Consider the following 23,850-nt stretch of genomic DNA (forward strand, 5'->3'; position numbering starts at 1 on the left):
TTTAAAAGACTGCCTATGGAGAATCGCTTGAACCTGGGAGGCGGAGACTGTGGTGAGCCGAGATCCCGCCATTGCATTCCAGCCTGGGCAACAAGAGCGAAACTCCATCTCAAAACAAAACAAAACAAAACAAAAGACTGCCTATACCTGGACTAAGTGAGGAAGTAGACGAACTGGAATTTTCATATGCTGCTGGTAAGAACATAAAACATACAATCACATTGCCAGTGTCTTAAAAAGTGAAACATACATATACCAAATGACTCCTATGTGTTTACCCTATGTGTTACTCCTATGTGTTTACCCTATGTGTACCCTAAGTGAAACATACATATATCAAAACACTCCTGTGTGTTTACCCAAGAAAACAAAAGTATATGTCCATAGAACGTCTTTTTGTTTTTTTTAATTTATTTTTATTTTATTTTATTTTAATTTATTTTATTAGAGACGGGGTCTCACTCTGTTGCCCAGGCTGGTCTCAAACTTCTGGGCTCAAGTGATCCTCCCACCTCAGCCTCTTGAGTAGTTAGGACTACAGGCACATGCCACCACACCCAGTTAATTTTTTTTATTTTTGTATTTTTTGTAGAGACAGAGTCTCACTATGTTACCCAGGCTGATCTCAAACACCTGACCTCAAGTGATCCTCCTGCCTTAGCCTCCCAAAGCATTAAAATTACAGGCATGAGTCACTGCACCCAGCCTGAAGTCGTACATGTGAATGTTAATAACAGCTCCATTTGTAACAGCCAGAAACTGAAGACAACCCAAATGTCCATCAACAAGTGAACAGATAAATTGTGGTATATCCATGCAATGGACTACTGCCTGGCAATAAAAAGGAATGAACTGTTGATTTTGCAACATGATTAAATATGAAATTATGATGCTGAGTTAAAGAAGCTAGACAAGGCCGGGCTCGGTGGCTCATGCCTGTAATCCCAGCACTTTGGGAGGCCGAGGCGGGCAGATCATGAGGTCCGGAGATCGAGACCATCCTGGCTAACACAGTGAAACCCCGTCTCTACTAAAAATATAAAAAGTTAGTCGGGCATGGTTGTGGGTGCCTGTAGTCCCAGGTACTCGGGAGGCTGAGGCAGGAGAATGGCGTGAACCCGGCAGGCAGAGGTTGCGGTGAGCCGAGATCACGCCACTGCACTCCAGCCTGGGCGACAGAGCGAGACTCCATCTCAAAAAAAAAAAAAAAAAAAAAAAAAGAGGCTAGATAAAAAAGTATATACTGTATAATTCCATTGATATAAAATTGTAGAAAATACAAAGATCTATGGTGGTAAAAGGCAGATCAGTAATAGCTTAGGAATGAGAGGAAGGACAGAAGATCTTTTTAAAAAAAAAAGAGAGTTCATTTAATATTTTTGGAGGTACACCTTCACCTCCTCCTCCTTCTTTGGCCTAAGGTAAGGTAGGGAATACTTGGCTACTAACTGTTCTGTCCTAGAAGGAATGAGGAGGATGGTGGTCATTGCAGGCCATCACTTAACCTCTCTTTTTTCTGTTCCATGTCCCATGTCCGTCTCTCATATCTGCAGCCATCTAGTCCAAAATATCTAGACTTTTCCAAAAGAATCTCTTTTTGGATCTATTTTCCATGCAACATAGAGGCTTAGACTGCCTCTATCTTGATTCATCAGTCACTATTTCTCCATTGCTTTCTTCCCTCTAAAAATGTTGAACTTAATGATGGTCAGCCCTGCCTCAATTCTCTTTGTTATGGATGTAGGCTTTTCAAAATTTTATATTATTTTAATAAAGGTGTTGGGAGGAAGAGATGACAAGCATAGCTGCTTAGTTTGTAACCTTGAACAAAAAGTTATCAAATTGCATTTTAAACGACTACTCTGGCTCTTGAATGGAGAATGGATTTGATAGAGGGGACAAGAGTGAATGAAGTGACATTAGGAGACAGTTGCAGTAATCCAAGTAAAGGGTGCTAGTAGCTTGGCCTAAAGTGGTAGAAGTGGAAACAGAGAAAAGTGCATGGTGTGGAGAGTTATTCAGAATATAAAATTGACATGACTGGGTTATGAATTGGATATGGGGAAAGAAAAAAAAAAAAGAGGTTTGCCCAGGCTTCTTACTTGCCAGTGGTTATAGTCACTAAGATAGGGACTGAAAGAGGACAAGATTTCTGGTAGAAAATCATTAATATAGTTTTAGAGCTATCGAGCTTGTATCATTGATACATCCAAAAGAAGAAGTCAAGGAGGCTCATGCTATGTGAATTCAGAGTTGAGGTCTGAGAAGACATGTATTAGGGAGTTATTGATGGACAATGAGCCAAGCTGAATGGATGAAATCTCTTAGAAAATGATTATGAATAAGAAGAGGAAAGGGTTGTAGTATACTGAAAAAAAATAGCCACATATGCCTCTTGCCAAATTTGCATGACTCTGCAATGTGATTTTTGTCTCCCACTAAAAGGTGGAGTTTATTTCTCCACCCCTGGATTCTGAACTGGCCTTGTGTCTTGTTCTGACCAATAGAATATGGTGAAAGTGATGAGGGGGAATCTGAGCCTAGAAGTCAAGAGGACTGGCAGCTTCTGCTCTTGCCCTTGAGACCACCATGTTAAGAAGCCTAGATTAACCCTTTGAGAAGGTAAACGACAATGAGACAAAGGCTCAGCCAACAGCCACCACCAACACCCATACATGAGAATAAAGTCATAGATTACAGGGGCCCCAGTCAGCCACCAGACAAGTACATGAGTGACCACACATAGGAGCAGCAGAAGCCCTCAGCCAAGCCAACCTCAACTTGCTACCCCATTGAATCATGATCAAATAAAATATTTGCCATTTTTTTAGCCTCTAAGTTTCTTTTTTTTTTTTCTCTTTTGTTTTTAGACAGAGTCTCGCTCTGTCACCCAGGCTGGAGTGCAGCGGCATGATCTTGGCTCACTGCAACTTCCACCTCCAGGGTTCAAGCAATTCTCCTGTCTCAGCCTCCCAAGTAGCTGGGACTACAGGTGCACACCACCACACCTGGCTAATTTTTGTATTTTTTAGTAGAGACAGCTTTTCACCACGTTGGCCAGGCTGGTCTTGAACTCCTGACCTCAGGTGATTCGCCCGCCTTGGCCTCCCAAAGTGCTGGGATTACATTTAGCCACTAAGTTTCAAGATTGGTTGTTATGCAGTGATAGACCACTGATGCAGTAGCCGAGGAGACTTGAGAAACTCCAATATTTAAATATTTACTAGAGAAATGTAAATTGGCAAAAAAAAAAAAAGAAAAAAAAAAAGAGGTAGTCAGAAACAGTAAGAAAATCAGAAAGGTACAATGTCACAGATACAAGATATAGACCCACAGAAACAAAGCAAAATGTTTTCAGAATAAAGGAATACAATGTGTCAAATATAGCTGAAAGGTCAAATAAGATGAGATGAAAAGTTACTTTTGAATTTAATGACATGAAGGTTGTGGTAACACAGTGACAACTGGGGCAGAGGGAAAACTTATAAGCTCAGCTTTGGACAAATAGAGTTTGAGATGTCTATGGGATATTTAAGTATATTTGTCCAGCATGTAGTTAGATAATATGTGACCTGAAGCTCAGTTTAGGGCCAGTCAGCATAAAGGTGGTCGATAAAACCGTCAGTGTAAACGAGATCACCAGGGAGACCATGTCGACGGGTGGGAGGGGATCTTAGCGCACAGCAAGGTTTTATAGCGTGAGCACAGGTAGAAAACACACAAAGAAGCTCATGAAGAGGAGAACTGGGAGAATGAGGTTCATGAAAGACAAGAGAAAAGTGTTTCAGAAAGAAACGAGAAAGACCAGGCATGGTGGCTCATGCCTGTAATCCCAACACTTTGGGAGGCCAAGGTAGGAGGATCATTTGAGCCCAGGAGTTCAAGACCAGCCAGGGCAACACAGGAAGGCCTCATCTCTACAAAAATATAAATAAAAAAATTACCCAGGCATGGTGGCACACACTATAGTCCCAGCTATTCCGGTGGCTGAGGAGGGAGGATAGCTTAAGACTGGGAGGTGGAAACTGCAGTGAGTTGTGACGGCGCCACTGCACTCCAGCCTGGGCCACAGAGCAAGACCCTGTTGATGCAGGGTAAGTGAGTGCCAAAGTGGACCTTAGCTCACTGGGTTCTCGGTTTTGCCCAGGAAAGAATTTAAGGGCAAGCCAAGGGTGGAAGAAAACAGCTTTATTGAAGAGGCAGTGTTACAGCTCTGTGACTGCTCCTGCAAAGCAGGAGCATTAGGCAGAGAATAGCAGCTCAGGGCATTTTGCAGTCATAGTTACACTCATTTTTACTTGCATGCAGATTAAGGGATGGTTTATGCAGAAATTTCTAGGGAAGGGGTAGTAACCATTGGGCCATTTCCACGGAAAGGGGTGGTAACTACCAAGTGTTGCTATGGCAATAGTAAATTGACATGGCACACAGTGGGTATATCTGATTGAAAGCTGATTTTATCCTGGCCCTGTTTTAGCTAGTTCTCAATCTGGTCCAGTGTCCAAGCCCTGCCTCTCGAGTCGAGTCCTGCCTCCTACCTCACCATCTAAAAAAAAAAAAAGAGGCCGGACGCGGTGGCTTACGCCTGTAATCCCAGCACTTTGGGAGGCAGGCGGATCACAAGGTCAGGAGATCGAGACCATCCTGCCTAACACGGTGAAACCCCGTCTCTACTAAAAATACAAAAAATTAGCCGGGCATGGTGGCGTGCGCCTGTAGTCCCAGCTACTCGGGAGGCTGAGGCAGGAGAATGCAGTGAACCCACTGCAAGGAGGCGGAGCTTGCGGTGAGCCGAGATCGAGCCACTGCACTGCAGCCTGGGCGACAGAGCGAGACTCCGTCTCAAAAAAAAAAAAAAAAAGGAATGAGAAGTAATTATGTCAAATGCAGTAGAAAAATCTCCTAAGGCAAGAAGCAGAAGGTCCCCTCTCACATACCGCTCTGAATCTGACACTATTTGCCAGAGCAGTTTCAGCAGTGCGGTGTAAAGCCAGCAAGGGCAAGCTGAGCAATGATGAAAATTAGAATATGGATGCCCACATGTAGAGACTCTTGGTGCTCAGGACGGGAAAAAAGGGCACTTTTGAGGGCCATGTGCTTTGTTTTCTGTTTCATTTTGTTTTGAGACTGACTTAAATTTGTTTATTAATTCAGGGGAAACACCCCAGTGGAATGTTTTTCCAACATTTGCTTTCCCCAGCTTTTATGAAAAGCCCTTCAACTTGTGTTTAGTTTTAACAACATCACCTTTCATGTCAATATATAATTGGGTACAATTCCCAGGTTTATTTGCTTTTAGATTAGTTGATTCTCAATTGAGTGGGGGTGGGGCGGGGCCTTTTTCTCACAGCTATCTTCAAGTCACAGTCAGAGGAAGTATCTTGTACTTCAAGAGTTCCTAAACAGCACTAAGAAAAAAAGCAAAATTCCCTGGTCAAGTAAATTTGAGAAAGCCTACACATTAAAAAAAACTCCCTCTGAGAAACTGACAAAGTATATTAGCATACTAAAGCCTCTGAGACATTCTACATTAAACAAAAAACTTTGTTTAACAGTTTAACAAACAAACTAATTTCCTCCAGGGGCAATGCTTTTTTCTCTGCATGTTAATAACATACCAGAAGAATTTTCCCTTATCACCAGTTTAGGAAACCCTGCTGTAGCCGATTGATTCTACCTACGGATTCCTTTTGGGTTTTACAATAGAGAGATTCTTCTCCATTTTATCTCTAGATTTAGGGATTCCTGTTACCTCAGGGACTTGGAGCCCTCCCTAGACTATTTACAGTAAAGAATGGTGATGATACCACCAGTTATTACCTTAGGAACTCCTTTGTAACACCAGGGTCAGTGGGTACTTAACAAAATATTGGGCTAAGGGCAAAGATGATTGAGGAGAGCTCAGCAAGAGACATCTTTAACTAAGGGTAACAAAATTCCCAGTCCGTGAAAGGATTGTTAAGTTATTAAACACTTTCCTAGGATATGAGTTGGTGACAGGATCCAAGTGCCTCCTTATATGTCTGGAGGAAGCCATCAACTAAACTACAATGACTGTAAGATACAAAATTGGGAATGGTAACATATTTTGAAGTTCTGTTGACATAAAGAATCATGATATTAATGCCCATGGAAATGAAAGGGCGATCAACACTATGGTTTGAAAAGGGGGAAATTGTAGAGCACAGATGTGTTCGTGTGGCAGTGTGCTGTCTCTAGCAATACTCAGAGAAGAGAGAGAACAATGAAATTCTGATTGGCCCCAGTGTGAGCCCAGATGAGGTTCAGCTGCCAACTTTCTCTTTCACATCTTATGAAAGTCATTTAAGCACAACTAACTTTTTTTTTTTTTTTTTTTTTTTGAGACAGAGTCTTGCTCTGTTGCCCAGGACAGAGTGCAGTAGTGACTCAATCTCGGCTCACTGCAGCCTCCACCTCCTAGGCTCAAACGGTCCTCCTGCATCAGCCTCCCAAGTAGCTGGAATTACAGGAGTGGCCCACCATGCCCAGCTAATTTTTGTATTTTTAATAGATACGGGGGTTTCACCATATCACCCAGGCTGGTCTCGAACTCCTGGCCTCAAGTGATCCACCTGCCTCGGCCTCCCAAAGTGCTGGGATTATAGGCGTCAGCCACTATGCCCAACCCGACCAACCTTTTTTAAAATAAATATTTAAAAAATTGGTATTTCACATATATACTAGTATTTACATTTATCCACACATCAAGAATTGGAGGATAATAATCATTTCCATGAAGCCTACAATAACACTGTTTTGGCTCCAGGCTCCCTCTACTGTCTTTGAAATAATAAACAAACATTTTATGGCACCCTCCTGACTAGATTCTAATACTTATGAAAGTCAAAACAAACACAATCTCATGCAGTAAAAAGGATATCCTTAGTATGATAATCAGGAAGTTCAGTATTTGAAGAAAGTTGAAAAAATATAAACTACTTAATAAAATATTAATATAAATAAAGCCATATGAAGTTGCCATTATTTGACCATTTTTTATCCACGAATGGTAATTTCATATGGTTTGACCTAATATATGAATGTTTAATTGTCAAAGAATAGTAGGGTATGTGTGTGTTTGTGTGTGTGTGTGTGTGTGTGTGTGTGTATGTGGTGTGTTGCAGGAAAGATTGTTGCTTTTAATAAATAATATCTATTATTAAATTCCCTAAATGCATTGGTTAATTTATATGATGTTTCTTGACAAATATTAACTACAGGATATGTAAAGTCCATGTCTTATAGGAATATATGTATTATAATTTGGGTTTAGAAGAAAAAAAAATCGGCCTTCAGATTAATAAATGTGAAAATACAAAATGTTTCACATGAAAAGGTAAATGAAAGAAATGCAGCAAAGCCACATGCTTACAAGAGGAAAGCTGGAAATAAAATAGTTAACATTTTAACTGAGAGAAGGAAGTAGGGCAATTTACATAGACTTCAAACAATCTCACACTGTTGAGAAAACCAGCAAATCCTGGAAAGGATTAGAGGTAAAAGCCAAAGTCAATACACTTCAAATACCCTGGGTACTTCACAGTAACTAACAAGAAAGCATCTTCTGGGTAAGTTCACACTTCGCACGAAATAAATATTAATTCCGTTGTTGGTAGTTTTCCAAAAAGTTAATATTTTACAGTTCAGAAATTTGGTTTCTTAAATTTGCCTTTGAAGCTCGAAGAATGCCTTTTGAAGTTGTTTTCATAGTCCTAGGAATTGAGTCTAAAAATGAAAGATGCCACCAAAGATTTGTTTACAAAGATGTTCATCAAAACCTTATTTTTATAGTTTACTGTTCACCAATTAAATCTTATGTCTGGCATAATGCCTGGTATATACTAAGTACTCAACAATTTTTTTTTTTTTTTTTTTAAGACGTAGTCTCACTCTGTCGCCTGGACTGGAGTGCAGTGGCGCGATCTCGGCTCACTGCAAGCTCCGCCTCCCGGGTTCACGCCATTCTCCTACCTCAGCCTCCCGAGTAGCTGGGACTACAGGCGCTTGCCACCACGCTTGGCTAATTTTTTGTATTTTTAGTAGAGACGAGGTTTCACCGTGTTAGCTGGGATGGTCTCAATCTCCTGACCTCGTGATCCGCCCGCCTCGGCCTCCAAAAGTGCTGGGATTACAGGCGTGAGCCACCGCGTCCGGCCCTCAACAAATATTTTTGAAACAATGAATTACATAAGAAAAGTTGAAAAATTTCAAATTGGGGACTGTTTGAATAAATTATGGATAAATATTATACAGCCATTAAAAATGTTTTGAGGCTTAAATACATTTGGGAAATGTTTAAGAGGAAAAGTTAAGCAAAAAGGATGCTGGCACCGTGTACACATCTAATGCAAATGTTGTAAAGTATATATATATATATATATATATATATGTGAGCACAAAGAGGATAGAAGGAAAAATAGAATTATTGACTGAGGTTATTACTGAGTGGTAGAATTCTGGATGGTTTTAATTTCTTCTTTTGTGTTTCTCTGCATTTGTTTTATAATTAGAAAAACACTAAAAGTGATTTAAACATTTTTAACATAAGGCACTGCTAACATTCAGATCTGTAATAAAAATGAGTCCATTAAAAATCAGGGAGTTAGCCAGGCATGGTAGCTCACGCCATGTAATCCCAGCACCTTGGAAGGCCAAAGTGGGTGAATTGCTTGCGCCCAGGAGTTTGAGACCAGCCTACGCAACATAGTGAGACCTTGTCTCTATAAAAAAAGAAAAAAAAATTAGCGGGGGGCAGTGGCCTGTGCCTGTAGTCCTAGCTACTCAGGAGGCTGAGGGGATACAGAGGTTGCAGTGAGCTGAGAGGTCAGGCCACTGCACTCCAGCTTTGCAGCCTGGGCTACAGAGCAAGAGTCTCTTTTTAAAAAAAATCAGGGAGTTTCATGAAATGTAGTTGTGGGATGATTCAATATTTGTATAAAACTGGCTCTTCCTCTCCACTTTGTTAGAACGAACTCTTGCTAGACAGACACTTTTGGTAATTTATTCAGTGGTGTAAATGCACAGGCCAGGGCTAAACTGTGCTTTATTTTTGAGTATAACACCAATAATAACTTCTGCAGAAAAGTTAGGTGACTTATTTCTCAAGTTATACAAATAAAGATGAAATGTAGTGCTTTTTCATCAGAGAGAAGCAAAATAATCATCAGTGGTTCAAATAGGTACTGGACCAGGCACTTTACCTAATGATCTTTAATTCTTACGGCTATCCTGAAAGTACTTTTATTTATATACAGAATATTATGGTAGAAGTAATAATATCTCAGTTGTTGACGAATTGTCATGTGCGAGGCTCTGTGTCAGGGGCTTTATTTTCTCTCATTCCATGTTCTGAGCTACAGGGGCAGGTAGTGCATGTATTTCCACTTGGCACTTGAAGACCTTGAGGCCCAAGGTGGAAGCCAGATCACTCTAACCACTCCTCGATGTGGAGAACATACTTTTATTCTCCAAGGTCATGAATCTTTTTTTTTTTTTAATACAGGGTCTCACTTTGTCGCCCAGGCTAGAATGCAGTGGCACAATCAAGGCTCACTACAGCTTCGACCCCCCCTTACCCCACCGCACCCGTGCCACTATGCCCAGTTAATTTTTTATATTTTTTTGTGGAGACAGCGTTTCGCCATGTTGCCCAAGCTGGTCTGAAACACCTGAGCTCAAGCGATCCGCACACCTCGGCCTCCCAAAGTGCTGGGATTGCCAGGTGCGGTGGCTCACGCCTGTAATCCCAGCACTTTGGGAGTCCGAGGCGGGCGGATCACGAGGTCAGGAGATCGAAACCATCCTGGCTAACACGGTGAAACCTCGTCTCTACTAAAAATACAAAAAAATTAGCCAGGCATGGTGGCGGGCGCCTGTAGTTCCAGCTACTCGGGAGGCTGAGGCAGGACAATGGCGTGAACCCGGGAGGCGGAACTTGCAGTGAGCCGTGATCGCGCCACTGCACTCCAGCCTGGGGGACAGAGGGAGACTCCGTCTCAAAAAAAAAAGTGCTGGGATTACAAGTGTGAGCCACCGTGCCCAGCCCATTAATCCATTTTTGCTCCCTTCAGGAGCAGTAAGTAAACTAAACACTGCATCCTACAAATGAACTTGAGCTTTTCTGTCAGGGGGAAGAATAGGTAGAGAAAGAAAGTTTAATCAAATTTGAGGTTTTCTTACACTTCCTTGTAGTGGATCAATGGGAATAACCAGTCAGCCATTATCCATTCATCAGTACTAAGCAAATTCAACAAAACTAATGTTTTCAAATGTGTTGATCAAGACATACCCTTGGCCTTGTTTAAATGAAAAGTCCTCAATCAAACAAGACATTTTCTATGTAAGGGTGTTCCTGTAATAGAGGAGGCAGTGGCCTGCTATGTCCTTATCAAACTAGGGATGTATTTGTCAATGACTCCATTGAGTTCTTTTCAAAAACTTCCATTCTGGCATTTTTCCTTTGCCTCCTACCTATCATCAAGGGCTCACAGGAGATTTAAAGAATGAATGTGAACAGATGACTAAGAGAATTAAAAAATGGCCACGTCTCTGTATTCTCTTGGTTCCGGAAATGGTCCAGCTGGTTCTATTTTTATTATAATAATAATAAAATTTGTTATTTATTAAGCATCTTCCACATGTCAGAGCTTTATACATTTTTATGTCATTTTAGCTTCACAACCATCTACCAAGGTACATATCCTCAGCGGGTAGCAACTCCAGAGATTAAATAGGGAGTACACCTGATATTATGTGTCTACCATGTGAAAGTCGAATCCAGATTTGAGTCCAACAAACACGCGTCCTTCAAAACACGTTGCCTAGCAACAAATTGATTCTAGTTACTTCCGGCATCCCAAGTGGAGAAAAATAACCAATTCCTTCCTAGAAGCCAAGCTTGAGGGACCTTTAGAATTCTGTAACAGAAAAGCTCCCCACCCCCTACTGTGACCCAAGCAGTTACTTAAACACTAATACCTCCCATTGGCCGGCGTGGCAGAGCAGCAGCTCTGGCGCTAGAGGGAACCTGGGCTGCTCTAGCTGGGGGAGAGCCGGGTCTCTGGTTCTAATCACTTGAATCTGACTTCTGGGAAAACTGGCGTCCAGGGACTCCCCCCGGAGACCCATAATCTTCTTGGGGCGACCTCAGGTTGGGGGACTAAGTCCTGCAGGGGACACTTGTTCATCCACTACCAGGGACACCCATCTCTCCCAACTCAAGACTTCTTTTTACTCCCCAAGTTTAAAACTCTGAGGCCACCCCGCCCCCTTCCCTCTCCCTCGCTTAGAATCAGGTATGGACACCGACATTCCAACCTTCTTTCCTTCTTCGGCGCTCCTGAAGGTAACCGGTGCGCGTGCGCACGTCAATCCGAGGGTGTGTGCGCCCAGTTTCCGGCGCCGCGGGACACCCACAACCGCGGGGCTGTCCCTCAGCTCGGCCGCCCGCCCCGCCCCGCCCCCCCGGACCCGCCTCCCAGCCCCGCCCCGGGCCCTCCTCGCCGCGCCCGCTCCGTCCCGCGCCCTCCACCGCCCTACGGCCTGGGCCCGCCTCCACCCTGCCTCTCCGTGGTTCCCCGGGCTGCCCCTGCCCCCGCCCCCGCCCCCGCCACCTCCCCCGCCGTCGCCCAATTCCCCCAGCCCCCACCCTCGGCTGCTGCCCGAGCTTCCTCCACGCGCCGTGCAGTCTCCACGGCGACGCTGCGTTCCCGACTCGGAGCCCCCAGCTCCGCGCGAGCAGCTAGCCGGGCTGGCTCTCGGTGTGTGCCCTTCGGATGGTCTGCTGAAGAGGGCCGCCAGCTGGTAAGACACTCCGAGGCAACGACCGGTCTCCCTCTCCCTAGCCCGGTGTGCAGTCTGACCCAGCCCCCACAGCAGACCACCCCCAGACCGGGCGCCCGAGTCTGCGGACCGCTCTACCGCACCTGGTTCTGGCTCTGGGCCCCGGGCCCCGTGGCTGCCAGGGGCCGCCGGGAAGGGAGGATGCGCGCCACTGGGGTGCGCCTGGCTTGCGGCACCCTCCTCCCGCAGTGGTCGGAAGAGGTGAGGAAGCGCCGTTCGTGTCTACACGGGTGTGGAGATAACTGGGCGATTCTGACAGGCTTGTCTACACTACCATTCTTTGACCGGCCGGTGCACACGCACCAACTCCTTCCCCGCAAATAACGAAGATGGCCCAGCCCATCCCAGGGCTTCCCGACCCCCTTCCCTCAGTCCTTGCCCTTGCCCGGAATTCTTTTACTTATTTTTGGAAAATTAGTTAAGACATCACTACTAGCTAGATATAACTTGCTAGCCATACAAATTTCGATGGAATTTGGACAAATCATTTATATTCCCGGGCCTTATTCTCATCTTATGAGATGATGAAATTGACTTGAAACTTCCAAAATGTTGATATTGTTCTTTTGACTACTCAAACTACTCTACACTGAGCCCCTGTGGCATTTAAAGTAACACATGGTATAATGATCAATTTATTGTTTGGCATAGGTGTCTTGGCTGAATCTTATTTTTACCCTAGGAGAACCCCTGGAAGTCGCTTTTTAAAAATCTGAAAAGGACACCGGAAATGTCTTTTAATATGTTTCATTTTTCTAAAAACCAAATACAATGATCCCCAAATCCAACTTATTTTTTAATTTTTATTTTGTTTTTTGTGAATTGAAATAGTTTTGGTTTTTGTAATCTCTGGAGAACAATAATAACAATAACATTTCTCTTTACGTGTTAAGAGTTTTCCAGAGCTGAAATTCCAGCATCTCTAGGTATTTCATTGCACCCACTCCAGAATTCCAGAGCTTTCTACCTACGCTCACCGGTTGAGCCACATCCTCAGTGTTTTCTCCCTTCTTTGCCCCATCCAGTTTCGGCGTTTAGAACTGGCTTCATTTGTGACAGTTCACCTTCAGGACTGGCCTCCCTGAGCTGTAAATATTAACAATAGTATAGGAGGAGGAGTTATAGTAACTGCAGTTCTGGCAGGAGATGAGTGCTACTATTATTATTTATTGGTAGCTAATTATTTTAACCTTTGCAATTTAACTCTATAAGGTAGGTGGTGTTTTTATCCACACTTTACAGTTGAGGAACTGAATCACAGAGAGGTTAAGGAATTTGCTCAAGGTCACACAGTTTACTGGGATTTAAACATAGACAACCTGACTCCAGAGTCTGGAATCCTAGCACTATATTACACTGTAAAGGAAATATATAAAATTTATATTTAGTCAGTTTAAAAAATGAATGTAAGTGATGGATGATCCTTGACACCATTTGTATACACATTTGAAGCTATGCCATGAAATATTGTTCCTGCATCATGTAATGTTTCCCCCACCAAGCTCCCTGAGGATAGAGGATAGTGCTTAATCAGCTCTGTCTCTCCTTCTCACCAGAGTTGCAGGGCTTGAGTGTGTAGCTAGCTAGCTATTTATTCATTCTGTCTTTGCCTATTAGACTACAAGGTAGCTTATAAAAACCAGTAGCACAAAACAGTAAAATAATTGCATAAGTGGGATGAAGAAAAACATGTAATGTCTTCCAATATTACAAGAGAAATCTAAAATAAAAATTTTTTGAAATCTGAATTTTAAATGTTGGTAATTCATTTTATAAAAGGTGTTTTTGTTTTTTTGTTTTGTTTTGTTTTTCCTGAAGTCTGTGGAGTGTGGAGTCCAAATAATACCAACTGGGGAGGTTCAGAATCTTGTGGCCTCTGGTTGCATGACTCCTAAACTACAATTTCTGAATCTCGTGGCTAATTTGTTAATCCTGTAAAGGCAGTCTGGTCCCCAGGCAAGAAGAGGGTTTGCTTTGGGAAAGGGTGGTTATCATCTTTGTTTCAGTGTTAACTGTAAACTGATTTCTTCCCAAAGTTAGTTTAGCCTATACCTAGGAAAGAACAAGGGCAGCTAGGAGGTTAGAAGCAAGATGGCATCAGTTAAGTCAGATCTGTGTCACTGTCATAATTTTCTCACTGTTATAATCTTTGCAAAGGCAATTTCACCTCTGTCCTTCCAGTTCTGCCTCCACTGCCTGCTGACTTCCTTAGGTATCTCCAGTCCTTGAGCCCAAAAGAAAGAATTTGATTGGTCCTGGTAATCACTATTCCTCAGTTTGGGCAGTATGGGAAATTACATTGTAGCCCCTTAAAGGGAAGCATTTGTTATAGTATTTTGAAGCTTGCTCTGTGACATACATATAAGAAGTTAGTACCCGTTTCACCTATAAGATTCTGAACTTCTCAAAGTAGAGTATCTTCATCTTTGTGTCCCCAGAGTTTAGCATAGTTATATGTGACATGTAGTAGGTGCTCATCAAATGTCTGGTATTGTATTATTATTGTCTTTTTTTTTAGAGACAGAGTCCCACTCTCTTGCCCAGGCTGGAGTACAGTGGCACAATCATAGCTCATTGTAACCTCAAGCTCCTGGGCTCAAGCCATCCTCCTACCTCAGCCTCTTGAGTAGCTGAGACTACAGGCATACACCACCATGCCTGGCTAATTAATTTTTTATAGAGGCAGAGTTTTGCTGTGTTCCCCAGGCTGGTGTCGACCTCCCATCCTCAAGCTATCCTCTGGCCTCGACCTCCCAAAGTGTTGGGATTACAGGTGTGAGCCACGACACCTGACCCAAATACCTGTTTTAAATAGACATTGAATAGTGCATGAAAATTTGGAACTATCATAAACTGTGCTGTTCCCATTGCCACAAGGACTGTTAAAAGAAACACCTTTATCTGTGTTCTAAATTAGTCTGCTTTTTCCCTGGAGTCAGTGATCTTTCTAAACAAGTATCAGTACTTTAGGTAGTTTTTAAAATTAATTAAAAGCCCTCAGAGATAATCTGCTTGTCTCAATCACAGTAAAGGCCCATTTTTGCTTCCCTAAGCAATTTTAATCATCCCCATAGGACATCTTTCCAAACTTTTCTTTTAGATAAAACATTGAATTGTTTCAACAGTGTCCTTCCTATATGCCAGGCTCTGCTGAACACTTTACCCAGATTATCCCATTTAATCCTTATAATAATCCACCAAAGGTGGCACCATGGTGATCCCCATTTTTCAGATGGAAGAATGGAATCTTAAAGAAGTTAAGTGACTTCTCCAGGCTCACCTGGGAAGTGACAGGAACTGGGATGTAAATCTAGTCTCTTTCACTCAAGAGCCCCATCTTTTTTTTTTTTTTTTTTTGAGATGAAGTCTCACTCTGTCACCCAGGCTGGAATGCAGTGGCACGCTCTCGGCTCACTGCAACCTTCACCTTCACCTCCCGGGTTCAAGCAGTTCTCCTGCCTCAGCCTCCCGAGTAGCTGGGACTACAGACTCACACCACCACGCCCGACTAAATTTTTTTTGATATTTTTAGTAGAGACGGGGTTTCATCATGTTAGCCAGGATGGTCTCGATCTCCTGACCTCGGGATCCACCTGCCTCAGCCTCCCAAAGTGCTGGGATTACAGGCATGAGCCACCACGCCCAGCCCAAGAGCCCCATCTTTTGAGTATTCTTTACTGCCTCCCAAGGAATTCAGTGTAATGAAAGGAGATGAAATGGACATTTCCTAGCTAATGATAAAGCCAGACCTAGCAGAGCATGGGTCTCCATCAAGGGCTGGGATCTGTCCATCCTACGTTTTCACCAGGTGAAAATGGGAGGAGAATTATGTGCACGAATGTTTCATCTAGGTGAAGAGTTGAATGTTGCAATCCCTGAAGATCCTAGAGCTAGAAAGGAGAGGACTGCTCTAAAGGTGGGCCAGGAAGGTGGCTCACGCCTGCAATCCCAGCACTTTGGGAGGCCCAGGCAGGAGGATCGCTTAAGAGCCAGGAGTTCAAGACCAGCTTGGGCAACAAAGTGAGACCCTGTCTCTTCAAAAATAAAAAAAAAAAAATAGCCGGATGTGGTGGTGCACACCTGTGGTCTCAGATACTCAGGAGGCTGAGGTGGGAGGATTGCTTGAGCCCAGGTGATCGAGGCTGCAGTGAGTCATGATCATACCATCACACTCCAGCCTGGGTGACAGAGCGAGACTCTGTCTCAAAATAATAATATTATTAATAAATATAAATGTGATGCTGTACATCACATTTATATACAGGTACCCAGGGGATTGTGGAACTCTGTGAAATGAAAGTGTCTCTCAGGGGAGATGATGTTAGATTTCTTTTGTTAAGGCCTTATTTAGTTCATTATTGCTTTGTTTCGTCTTTGGAGCTTTGCTGCCCTAGATAACCAGAGGAAAATCTTTCATTTATCCTAGAGTTTGGTCTTCCACAACTGTGTTTCCCCAAAAGATGCCGTGCTGTTCTGATAGACTTTAGTCCTCTGTGAGCCTCTTGGAGAGCTAATCGAATTAACGTATGTAATGTTGGCTTGGTCAGGGTTCCCCAGAAAGCAAAGCCTGAGGCAGAAGTTTATATACAGCTGCTTTATTCAGGAGCATAAGTCAATATAAAGGAGTTGGATTTAAAAAAAATAAAAACAATACGAAATAATGACGCTTTGCTTTTAATGTCCACAGTCTTGGCCCTGAATTTTATATTCCAGAAATCCCTCAGTAGGTAATAATTATGATAATTTTTAAAGTCTGGTTTGGGTGTGGGAACAAGTGTTAGAGGGGTGAGGAAGTGGATTGTTACTTAGGAAAATTTTAAGTGTGGCCGCTCCCATACTTGAAAAAAAAGTAAGAGTTTATTTTTCTCTTAACTATGAGAATGAAATTTATCCAGATATATAAAAGGCTACACTATACGAAAATCAGTCCTATGATCAGGTAATTTAGGTAAAAATTCATAGAGAAAACATTGTACCTTTATATTAATAAACACATGAGAACTTATGAGGTAAGAATTATATTTTAGAATCAAAAGTAATTTCTATATGTATTTGTTTAAATAATACTTTATTAAAAATACCATAGCTTGAGATACTGTGGAAGAATTTCTTCTTGTTCTGGTCACATGTACTCTAAAAGGTGTTTTGTTGTTGTAGTTGTTGTTTTTTGAGACAGAGTCTCGCTCTGTTGCCCAGGCTGGAGTGCAGTGGTGCGATCTCGGCTCACTGCAACTTCCGCCTCCTGGGTTCGAGCTATTCTCATATCTCAGCCTCCCGAGTAGCTGGGATCACAGGCATCTGCCACCATGCCCGGCTAATTTTTGTATTTTTAGTAGAGACGGGGTTTCGCCATGTTGGTCAGGTTGGTCTCGAACTCCTGACCTCAGGTGATCCACCTGCCTTGGCTTCCCAAAGTGCTGAGATTACAGGCTTGAGCCACCGCGCCCGGCCTTAAAAGCTGTTTTTTATTTTTGTGACACCAATAAACTGGAATGTGGCAGATAAGTTATGTAAAACCAAAAAGATAACAGAGAATTTCTTTTTTTTTTTTTAACTTTCATTTTAGGTTTGGGGGTACGTGTGAAGGTTGGTTACATAGGTAAACGTGTCATGAGGGTTTGTTTTACATATTATTTCATCACCCAGGTATTAAGCTCAGTACCCCTTAGTTATCGTTTGTGCTTCTCTCCCTCCCCACCCCGTCCCCCAGAAGGCTTAATTTCTCTAGATTTTTTTAAAACTAAATTTCATAATCCAGAAGAATGAGGTTTTACAGTTAGAATGGAAATAATGCTACTAAATACAAAAACAAAATACATACTTAATACCCAACTGACAGACTGTGTTCTGTGTTCTATTTGTATTTTAAATCTATATAAGTGTTTAGAGACTTATGAAGTAAATATTTTGGTTTTTGCAGGACTTCTGTAGACAAGACAGATACTGTAAAGGTGAGAGTATATAATTTTTTTAGGATGTTTTGAGTCTATTTTAGCATCAATTTATACAGTTTTTAAATAACCAGCTTTAGTATAAAATTGTATCTTATTCTAGCTAGTAGAAATGTTTACATAAAGGCTATTAGTAAATTATTTCAAATATCTCAAACTAAAATAATAATGCTAGTTTTTATTTCTGCTTCTATTTTAGACAGCAAAGAACAAACAGAATGGCAGATTGCTAATGTTTGATCCAAACGGTAAATGATTTATTACTTTGAAAGAATATGTTTAGCCACTATCTTGTCCTAAATAGTAAGAAGACTATTGGAATCTTGAGTGTCATTGAATGACTTAGTAATTAAATCCTTTATTATGTTGCCTATCCTTTTAAAAATCCTAAATATTTGCCATTTAGAAGTGTATGTCAGGGACATCAGTGTTAATAAAATACTGAGGGTATTTTTTTCTCTTTCAGAAAAAGTGATGATTGAATCAAACGAAGCAATGTCAGAGTAAGAAGATGTCTTTGATTGTGCAGCTGATCTCTCCCATGCCTTTTAAGCAATTAGAACTAGATAATGCAGCCATTTGTCACCCAATTAAATTTGAAAGGCCAGAAATGCATGGATTAGCACTTCAGCTTTTGCTGCAGTCAAAGCAATTGTTACTATAGATAGAAGGACAGTTAAAATGAAAAATGAATTTTGATAAAAATGCAGAAGTATAGATAATATTCACTTCTACTTTTTAATGCTTAAACACCCTGTATTCTGTATTTTACTTGTATCATAATTTTCATTGCTCATTCCTATTTCCCTTTGATACTTATTTCTTTCACAATATTTCTTCAAGTGAATATGTACTTTAAAATTAACAAATTATTTACTATAACATGAATTGTTACTACTCAATAAAGAAAGTAATCACCTCAACTAGTTGAAGAAACTGGTGTTAAAAAAATTGTATTCTTTCCAGCCTTTTGGCTAAGATCAAGTGTAAAAAAATCACAGTACAATATCAATTTAGTAGCTAAATTTTAAATATCTTCTCTGTTCAAGGCTCTGATTCTGATAATCTATTAAAGCCCTTCCTGTAGTCATCTCCTACTTTCTGAAAAAAAAATCTCTATTTATTCTATGAAAAATTACAGCTTGAAAGTTGATCATAAACACATTTGTGGGGATTACTGACAAATTAGTAGGTACTATTCTGGTGGGATTCTTCTATTCAAATTCATACTGTTTTTGTTTATTCTAAATATTGACTGGGAAAAATTCTACCCTAGACAACATATATTTAAATTTTCATATTGTCAAAACGAAAAATGTCCACCTTGGCTTTTGTTGTAAATTATATGTATATTACATATTATATAATACATGTTTTTATATTAAAGAGAAAGTAATGTATAGCAAATCAGTGACAGAGGACCTTATTTATTTTCATTTAAAGTTACAATCAACCAGAAAAAAAGAGCCTTGTTACATATGGTAATCTACATGTAATTTTATATGTATCCTATTACATGGTTGAAAACATTTAATAAAATCTAAAAAATGTTTAGTTGTCTTTGAGGGATATTTGAAATATAACTTTCAATAATAGTAATAGAAGTTACTAGATCATAGATGAAAAGAAATTACTGTTGTATCAATGAGCCCCAATGTTCTTTGAGTGATAAGCAGTGTTGGAACTGGAGCAAGGGGTGTTCCACCTCCTGAGGTAGATAAACCCCGGGGATAAATCAGATGCAGTCTAGGCCAAAATAGAAAAGCAGAGTGGCTACTTGTTCTCTTGATCTCAGTCCTAATTGCATCTGCCTCTCAAACTGCTTCTTGCAAGGTCAAAATGATCATTTCCCTTTAATTTGCTTTCAGAGGACAAGGGTGGATAGTGTAGCCAATAAGCTTCACAGGTGTGTAGTTTTGTCACCTCAGGTACTTCACCCAGAGTTGAAGGTAAACAGGGCTAGTTCTAGAGAAAAATGATCAAGTAGGAAAAAACATTGGAGTGGGGAGATCTTTGCATGGGAAGAGTGTGACTGACCTGCAAAGTTGATGAATTTTTTCAGCATAGCTTCCATTCCGCTCTCCACCCTGCTGCTGGCTTCATAGTCTGACTGGCAAGTGAGATTTGCCAAAAGATTTCATTTAGGTTGGGTTAGGGAAAACTAAAAGTTTTTTCTTTGCTCTAGTTTTTGTATTTTTCACTCCAGTCCCAGCCACAAGAAGTATGTGGACTCTATAAACCACAAGTTTCAAACTTCTGGGCACACAAATGCCACATTTAACATTTTCTTTTTCCTTAGAAATCCTATGTGGGAAAGATTTTGTCTACCCAGCAAATTGCTTGTAGTTAACAAACTATTTTCAGCAGCAGAAATAAAATATGTATTTAATGCAGGATAAAGTTTTCTAGATTTTGGACCTTACTGGATTTTTTGGTCAAGCTTTCAAGCATAAAGATTGAGGGGAATATGGCTGAAGCAAATCCACAGCACTCAGCGCTGACTGAGCTTGAAAAAAAATTGTATCTCTAGGACTTTTCTTACATAATCACGTGTTTTATCACCTTTTCTAAAATGAATAATGAGCTATTTTTTATTCCCATTTTTATACCTCAAGTAAATGCCTCTTTGGACGCAGACCAAGATTGACAAGCAAACTTAATACCTCACCAACACAGGTCTCTGTAAATGTAGCTAAAACATTCTCAGAAAAGTAAGTTTTAATTAATTTTGTTTTTAGGCCCATGTTTGACAAGTATAAATCATTTTATGACAAAGTTTAAAATAGAAATCTCCTGAAAGAATTATTTCAGTAGAAGTTTTGGGACACTAAATATACCCAACATGCTGAGGAAAAAATTCTAAAACTTAGGTTATCTGCCCTCTAGCATAAATATGTTCCAATGGAATGTCTAACCTGATTAACTCTGTAATTTTATTAAGTACTAAATTAAAGACTTTTGCATTTCCAAAGAATATTATTGCATAAAGTAAAATTTTAAATCTTTCCTCAGTTGTAATTGTAGTTAACAAAAACAGATCTGTTAGAGTATACTGGTTACCTGTTTTTCTTAGTTAGGGGCTTTATTACCATAAATAACATCACTTTCTCAAACAGAAGTCAATAGATTTTAGGTGAAGAGGAAATTGACCTTTGGGCCTCCGATTCTTTGAAACTGTGCAAGAAAGACCATAGAAAGTGAACAGAAAAGCCATTTATGTCTTACTGTTAAAATCAGGATTTGATCAGCTCTCATATAGGTATTTTTCTGGCATGTTCACTGCTTCCAAATAGTAATATTCCATTTACTTCAGGTCATTGAGTATGTTGGCTGCCTCCATGTGTGTTTCATTAAAATTATTATAGGCATTTCCAGTTATTCAAATACCCAGAACTATACTAGCTAAATTCCTGTTTTAAGGGATGTAACTCAGTGAATATATAAGTGCCATATTTTATTCTAAAGCACACATTTTTTTCATATTTTAACACCTTTTACAATCAATGTCATCTTACACTTATATTTGGCAATATATTTTTCTTTTTTAGTGTACATAAAACGATGGTATGTCTTATAATAAACATTGTATCTTAGATTCAATGAAATACTTTAATTCAGGGAAGAAAAAAGACATCAAAGCCCTTTTATGTAGATCAGCTATGAGAGCATATAAATTTTAGTAATCACTAGTGTGGTGAACTTTTACATAACAGGAGTCTCACAATCCTGGAAACTGAATATTTCAGTGATTCTACAACTTTTCATATGTAGAGTTTCTTCTTGGATGCTTTCTGTCACAATTAGAAGATCAAACAGGGCAGAGGCAGAACAAATGTAAATCATCTTTGCTGTGCATTTTTCATTTCCAGAGAAGGGTTTTGCTTTAGCCATATATACTGGGGGAGTAAAGATTCCATTCCCTCCCATAGTATTAAGGATGTAACAACCTGGTCAACCTATTTGCTAAATTAGTGCATGGGACCACTAACTTAACTACTAATGTTCTGGATTCACATTTCCATGAGGGAAAAAAACAGAGCCATTGTAACTTTGGGGAACAAATAATACTTTACATCTTTTTATATATTTCCATGCAAACTAGAAGGTGAATTTTTAAAACTTTATGAAGGAGACAAATTGAAAGATTCTCAAGACCTCAAAAAAAGAGACTTGGGGGGCTGGGCACAGTGGTTCATGCCTGTAATCCCAGCACTTTGGAAGGCCGAGGTGGGTGGATCACAAGGTCAGGAGTTCAAGACCAACCTGGCCAAGATGGTGAAACCCCGTTTCTACTAAAAATAGAAAAATTAGCCGGGCATGGTGGCAGGCGCCTGTAATCCCAGCTACTAGAGAGGCTGAGGCAGAGAATTGCTTGAACCTGGGAGGCAGAGGTTGCAGTGAGCCGAGATCGCGTCACAGCACTCCAGCCTGGGTGATAGAGCGAGACTTGGTCTAAAAAAAAAAAAAAAAAGACCTGGGTTTTTTTTCCCACAAGCATAGGGTGCTGTCTTTGTGAACAGAGGGCACCTCATTAAGAATTCCTTGTTTCAATGTGTTATTTACTAACATGAAGCTTCAAGTTTAAAGATTAAAAGGGAGAGTTAACCCATTTTTAATTAAGCTACTTAATGAAAAAGGCTATTTTATATTATGTCCAAGGGCTAATATTAGTGTTGGACTCTGCATAAGCATAGCATTTAGCAATGGCAAAAATCGATTTATAAACTTAAAAACTCAAGGCTAATTTTCTTAGTTTTATTCCATCATATCACTGTGATGTACCAGAGACATTTATATAACTGATTACTTAAATGCTCTGTGTTAAAGAACTCTGAAAAGAGTCTAAGAATTGTTATACGATAACAAATGCCAGTCAGCAATAGAATTTTAATCATTGTAAAATAATTTGTAATGCTTTTCCACAAAGAAGATACTACATTTTAGCTATTTAGTTTATTGTTGACATATTATATTGTATGTTTACATTAAATGTAGTGTCTGTGTTTAAAGCATTAAACAGAATTATGACCTAAGAAAATATTTTTTCACTGTCTAACATATAGGAAGGAAGTCCCTTCTAAGAATATTGCAAATAAAGTCTCTTTACAGACTACTGAAAATAGAGTATCTTCAAGGAGTATCGAAAGTAAAGATATCTTAACAAATCTACAGTCTGACCTATTGTCATCTTCCTGCTTAAAAGAAAGCACAGGTAATAACATTTGTTTCATTGAATTAACTAACTATGGCTTCTAATTGAACCCTCCTTTTCTGCGACCTTTGGGAACTGACAACTCTGTAGATCTGGGGCGGGTCATGAGAATCAGTAGTTCTCCAAAGTCATGTTGTAGGTGATTCTTATATTCAGCCAGGTATGAGATCCATGGATATGCATTACATAAGATGGTAATTACAGAGTCTTAAGTCCTGGAATGAATTAAAATACCTATGAAAGCATTAACACGTTCCATTCATTTAATAACCAGAGTGAAAGCCAGAGTGCCAGGCACTGGTTTAGAGGCTATGGATACAAAAGTTGGCAAAATAGGGAAAGCCCTTGTCCTTATAAAGTTTACATTCTAGTAGAAGTCAGACAGCTGACTATTAAAAATAAAAAACAGGCCAGCTATAGTGGCTCATGCCTGTAACTCTCAGCACTTTGGGAGACCAAGGCAAGAGGATCAGCCCAGGTCGAGCCCTAGAGTTTGAGACCAGACTGGGCAATATAGCAAGACCCCATCTTTGAAAAAAATTAAAATTAAAAAAGAAAAATTGCCAAGCACGCTAGTATATACTTGTAGTCCTAGCTACTAGGAAGGCTGAAGCAGGAGGATTGCTTGAACCCAGGAGTTAAAGGCTACAGTGAACTATGATCATGTCCCTGCACTGGGTGGGTGACAGAGCAAGACCCTGTCTCAAAAAGAAGTTTAAAAATTTTTGAAAATTAAAAATAAAAATAAATAAAAATAAAATAAAAAATAAAAAAATAGGCTGATGCAAAGATAGTTATCCAAGTTGATTGTTCATAGCTACAGAA

At 40.4% G+C, this 23,850-nt stretch overlaps 1 protein-coding gene and 1 long non-coding RNA gene across 13 annotated transcripts in view, besides 2 other annotated features; one reads left to right on the forward strand and one right to left on the reverse strand.

The window, feature by feature from the left end:
* The window catches only part of ERICH2-DT (ERICH2 divergent transcript), a 70,399-nt gene extending 58,997 nt beyond the window's left edge, over positions 1-11,402 (reverse strand). The window contains exon 1 of the long non-coding RNA NR_110185.1: positions 11,338-11,402. This is a non-coding gene — a long non-coding RNA (ERICH2 divergent transcript). The remainder of the gene's footprint in view (positions 1-11,337) is intronic.
* Positions 11,014-23,850, forward strand: part of ERICH2 (glutamate rich 2) — a 28,600-nt gene continuing 15,763 nt past the window's right edge. Inside the window, exons 1-7 of one of the 12 annotated variants that reach the window (XM_017003875.2) lie at positions 11,014-11,170; positions 11,310-11,823; positions 17,783-17,813; positions 18,013-18,061; positions 18,280-18,316; positions 20,429-20,524; positions 22,877-23,025. In XM_017003875.2, the coding sequence (XP_016859364.1) occupies positions 11,318-11,823; positions 17,783-17,813; positions 18,013-18,061; positions 18,280-18,316; positions 20,429-20,524; positions 22,877-23,025 (868 nt within the window). In that variant the 5' untranslated portion in view covers positions 11,014-11,170; positions 11,310-11,317. Of the gene's footprint in view, positions 12,064-12,097; positions 13,075-16,288; positions 16,356-17,782; positions 17,814-18,012; positions 18,062-18,279; positions 18,746-20,428; positions 20,525-22,876; positions 23,026-23,850 lie in introns of those variants that run through there. The other 11 variants (NM_001290030.2, XM_047443999.1, NM_001388468.1 and 8 more) reach the window with 11 other exon arrangements.
* Positions 11,592-11,651: a silencer, noted in NCBI's record as "silent region_12091". NCBI's record gives its function as "represses an Ori minimal core promoter by ATAC-STARR-seq in GM12878 lymphoblastoid cells {active_cell/tissue: GM12878}" and the evidence as "EXISTENCE:reporter gene assay evidence [ECO:0000049][PMID:35858748]".
* Positions 11,972-12,111: a silencer, noted in NCBI's record as "silent region_12092". NCBI's record gives its function as "represses an Ori minimal core promoter by ATAC-STARR-seq in GM12878 lymphoblastoid cells {active_cell/tissue: GM12878}" and the evidence as "EXISTENCE:reporter gene assay evidence [ECO:0000049][PMID:35858748]".

Source organism: Homo sapiens, chromosome 2 (assembly GCF_000001405.40).
Source record: "Homo sapiens chromosome 2, GRCh38.p14 Primary Assembly".
NCBI classification, from domain to species: domain Eukaryota; kingdom Metazoa; phylum Chordata; class Mammalia; order Primates; family Hominidae; genus Homo; species Homo sapiens.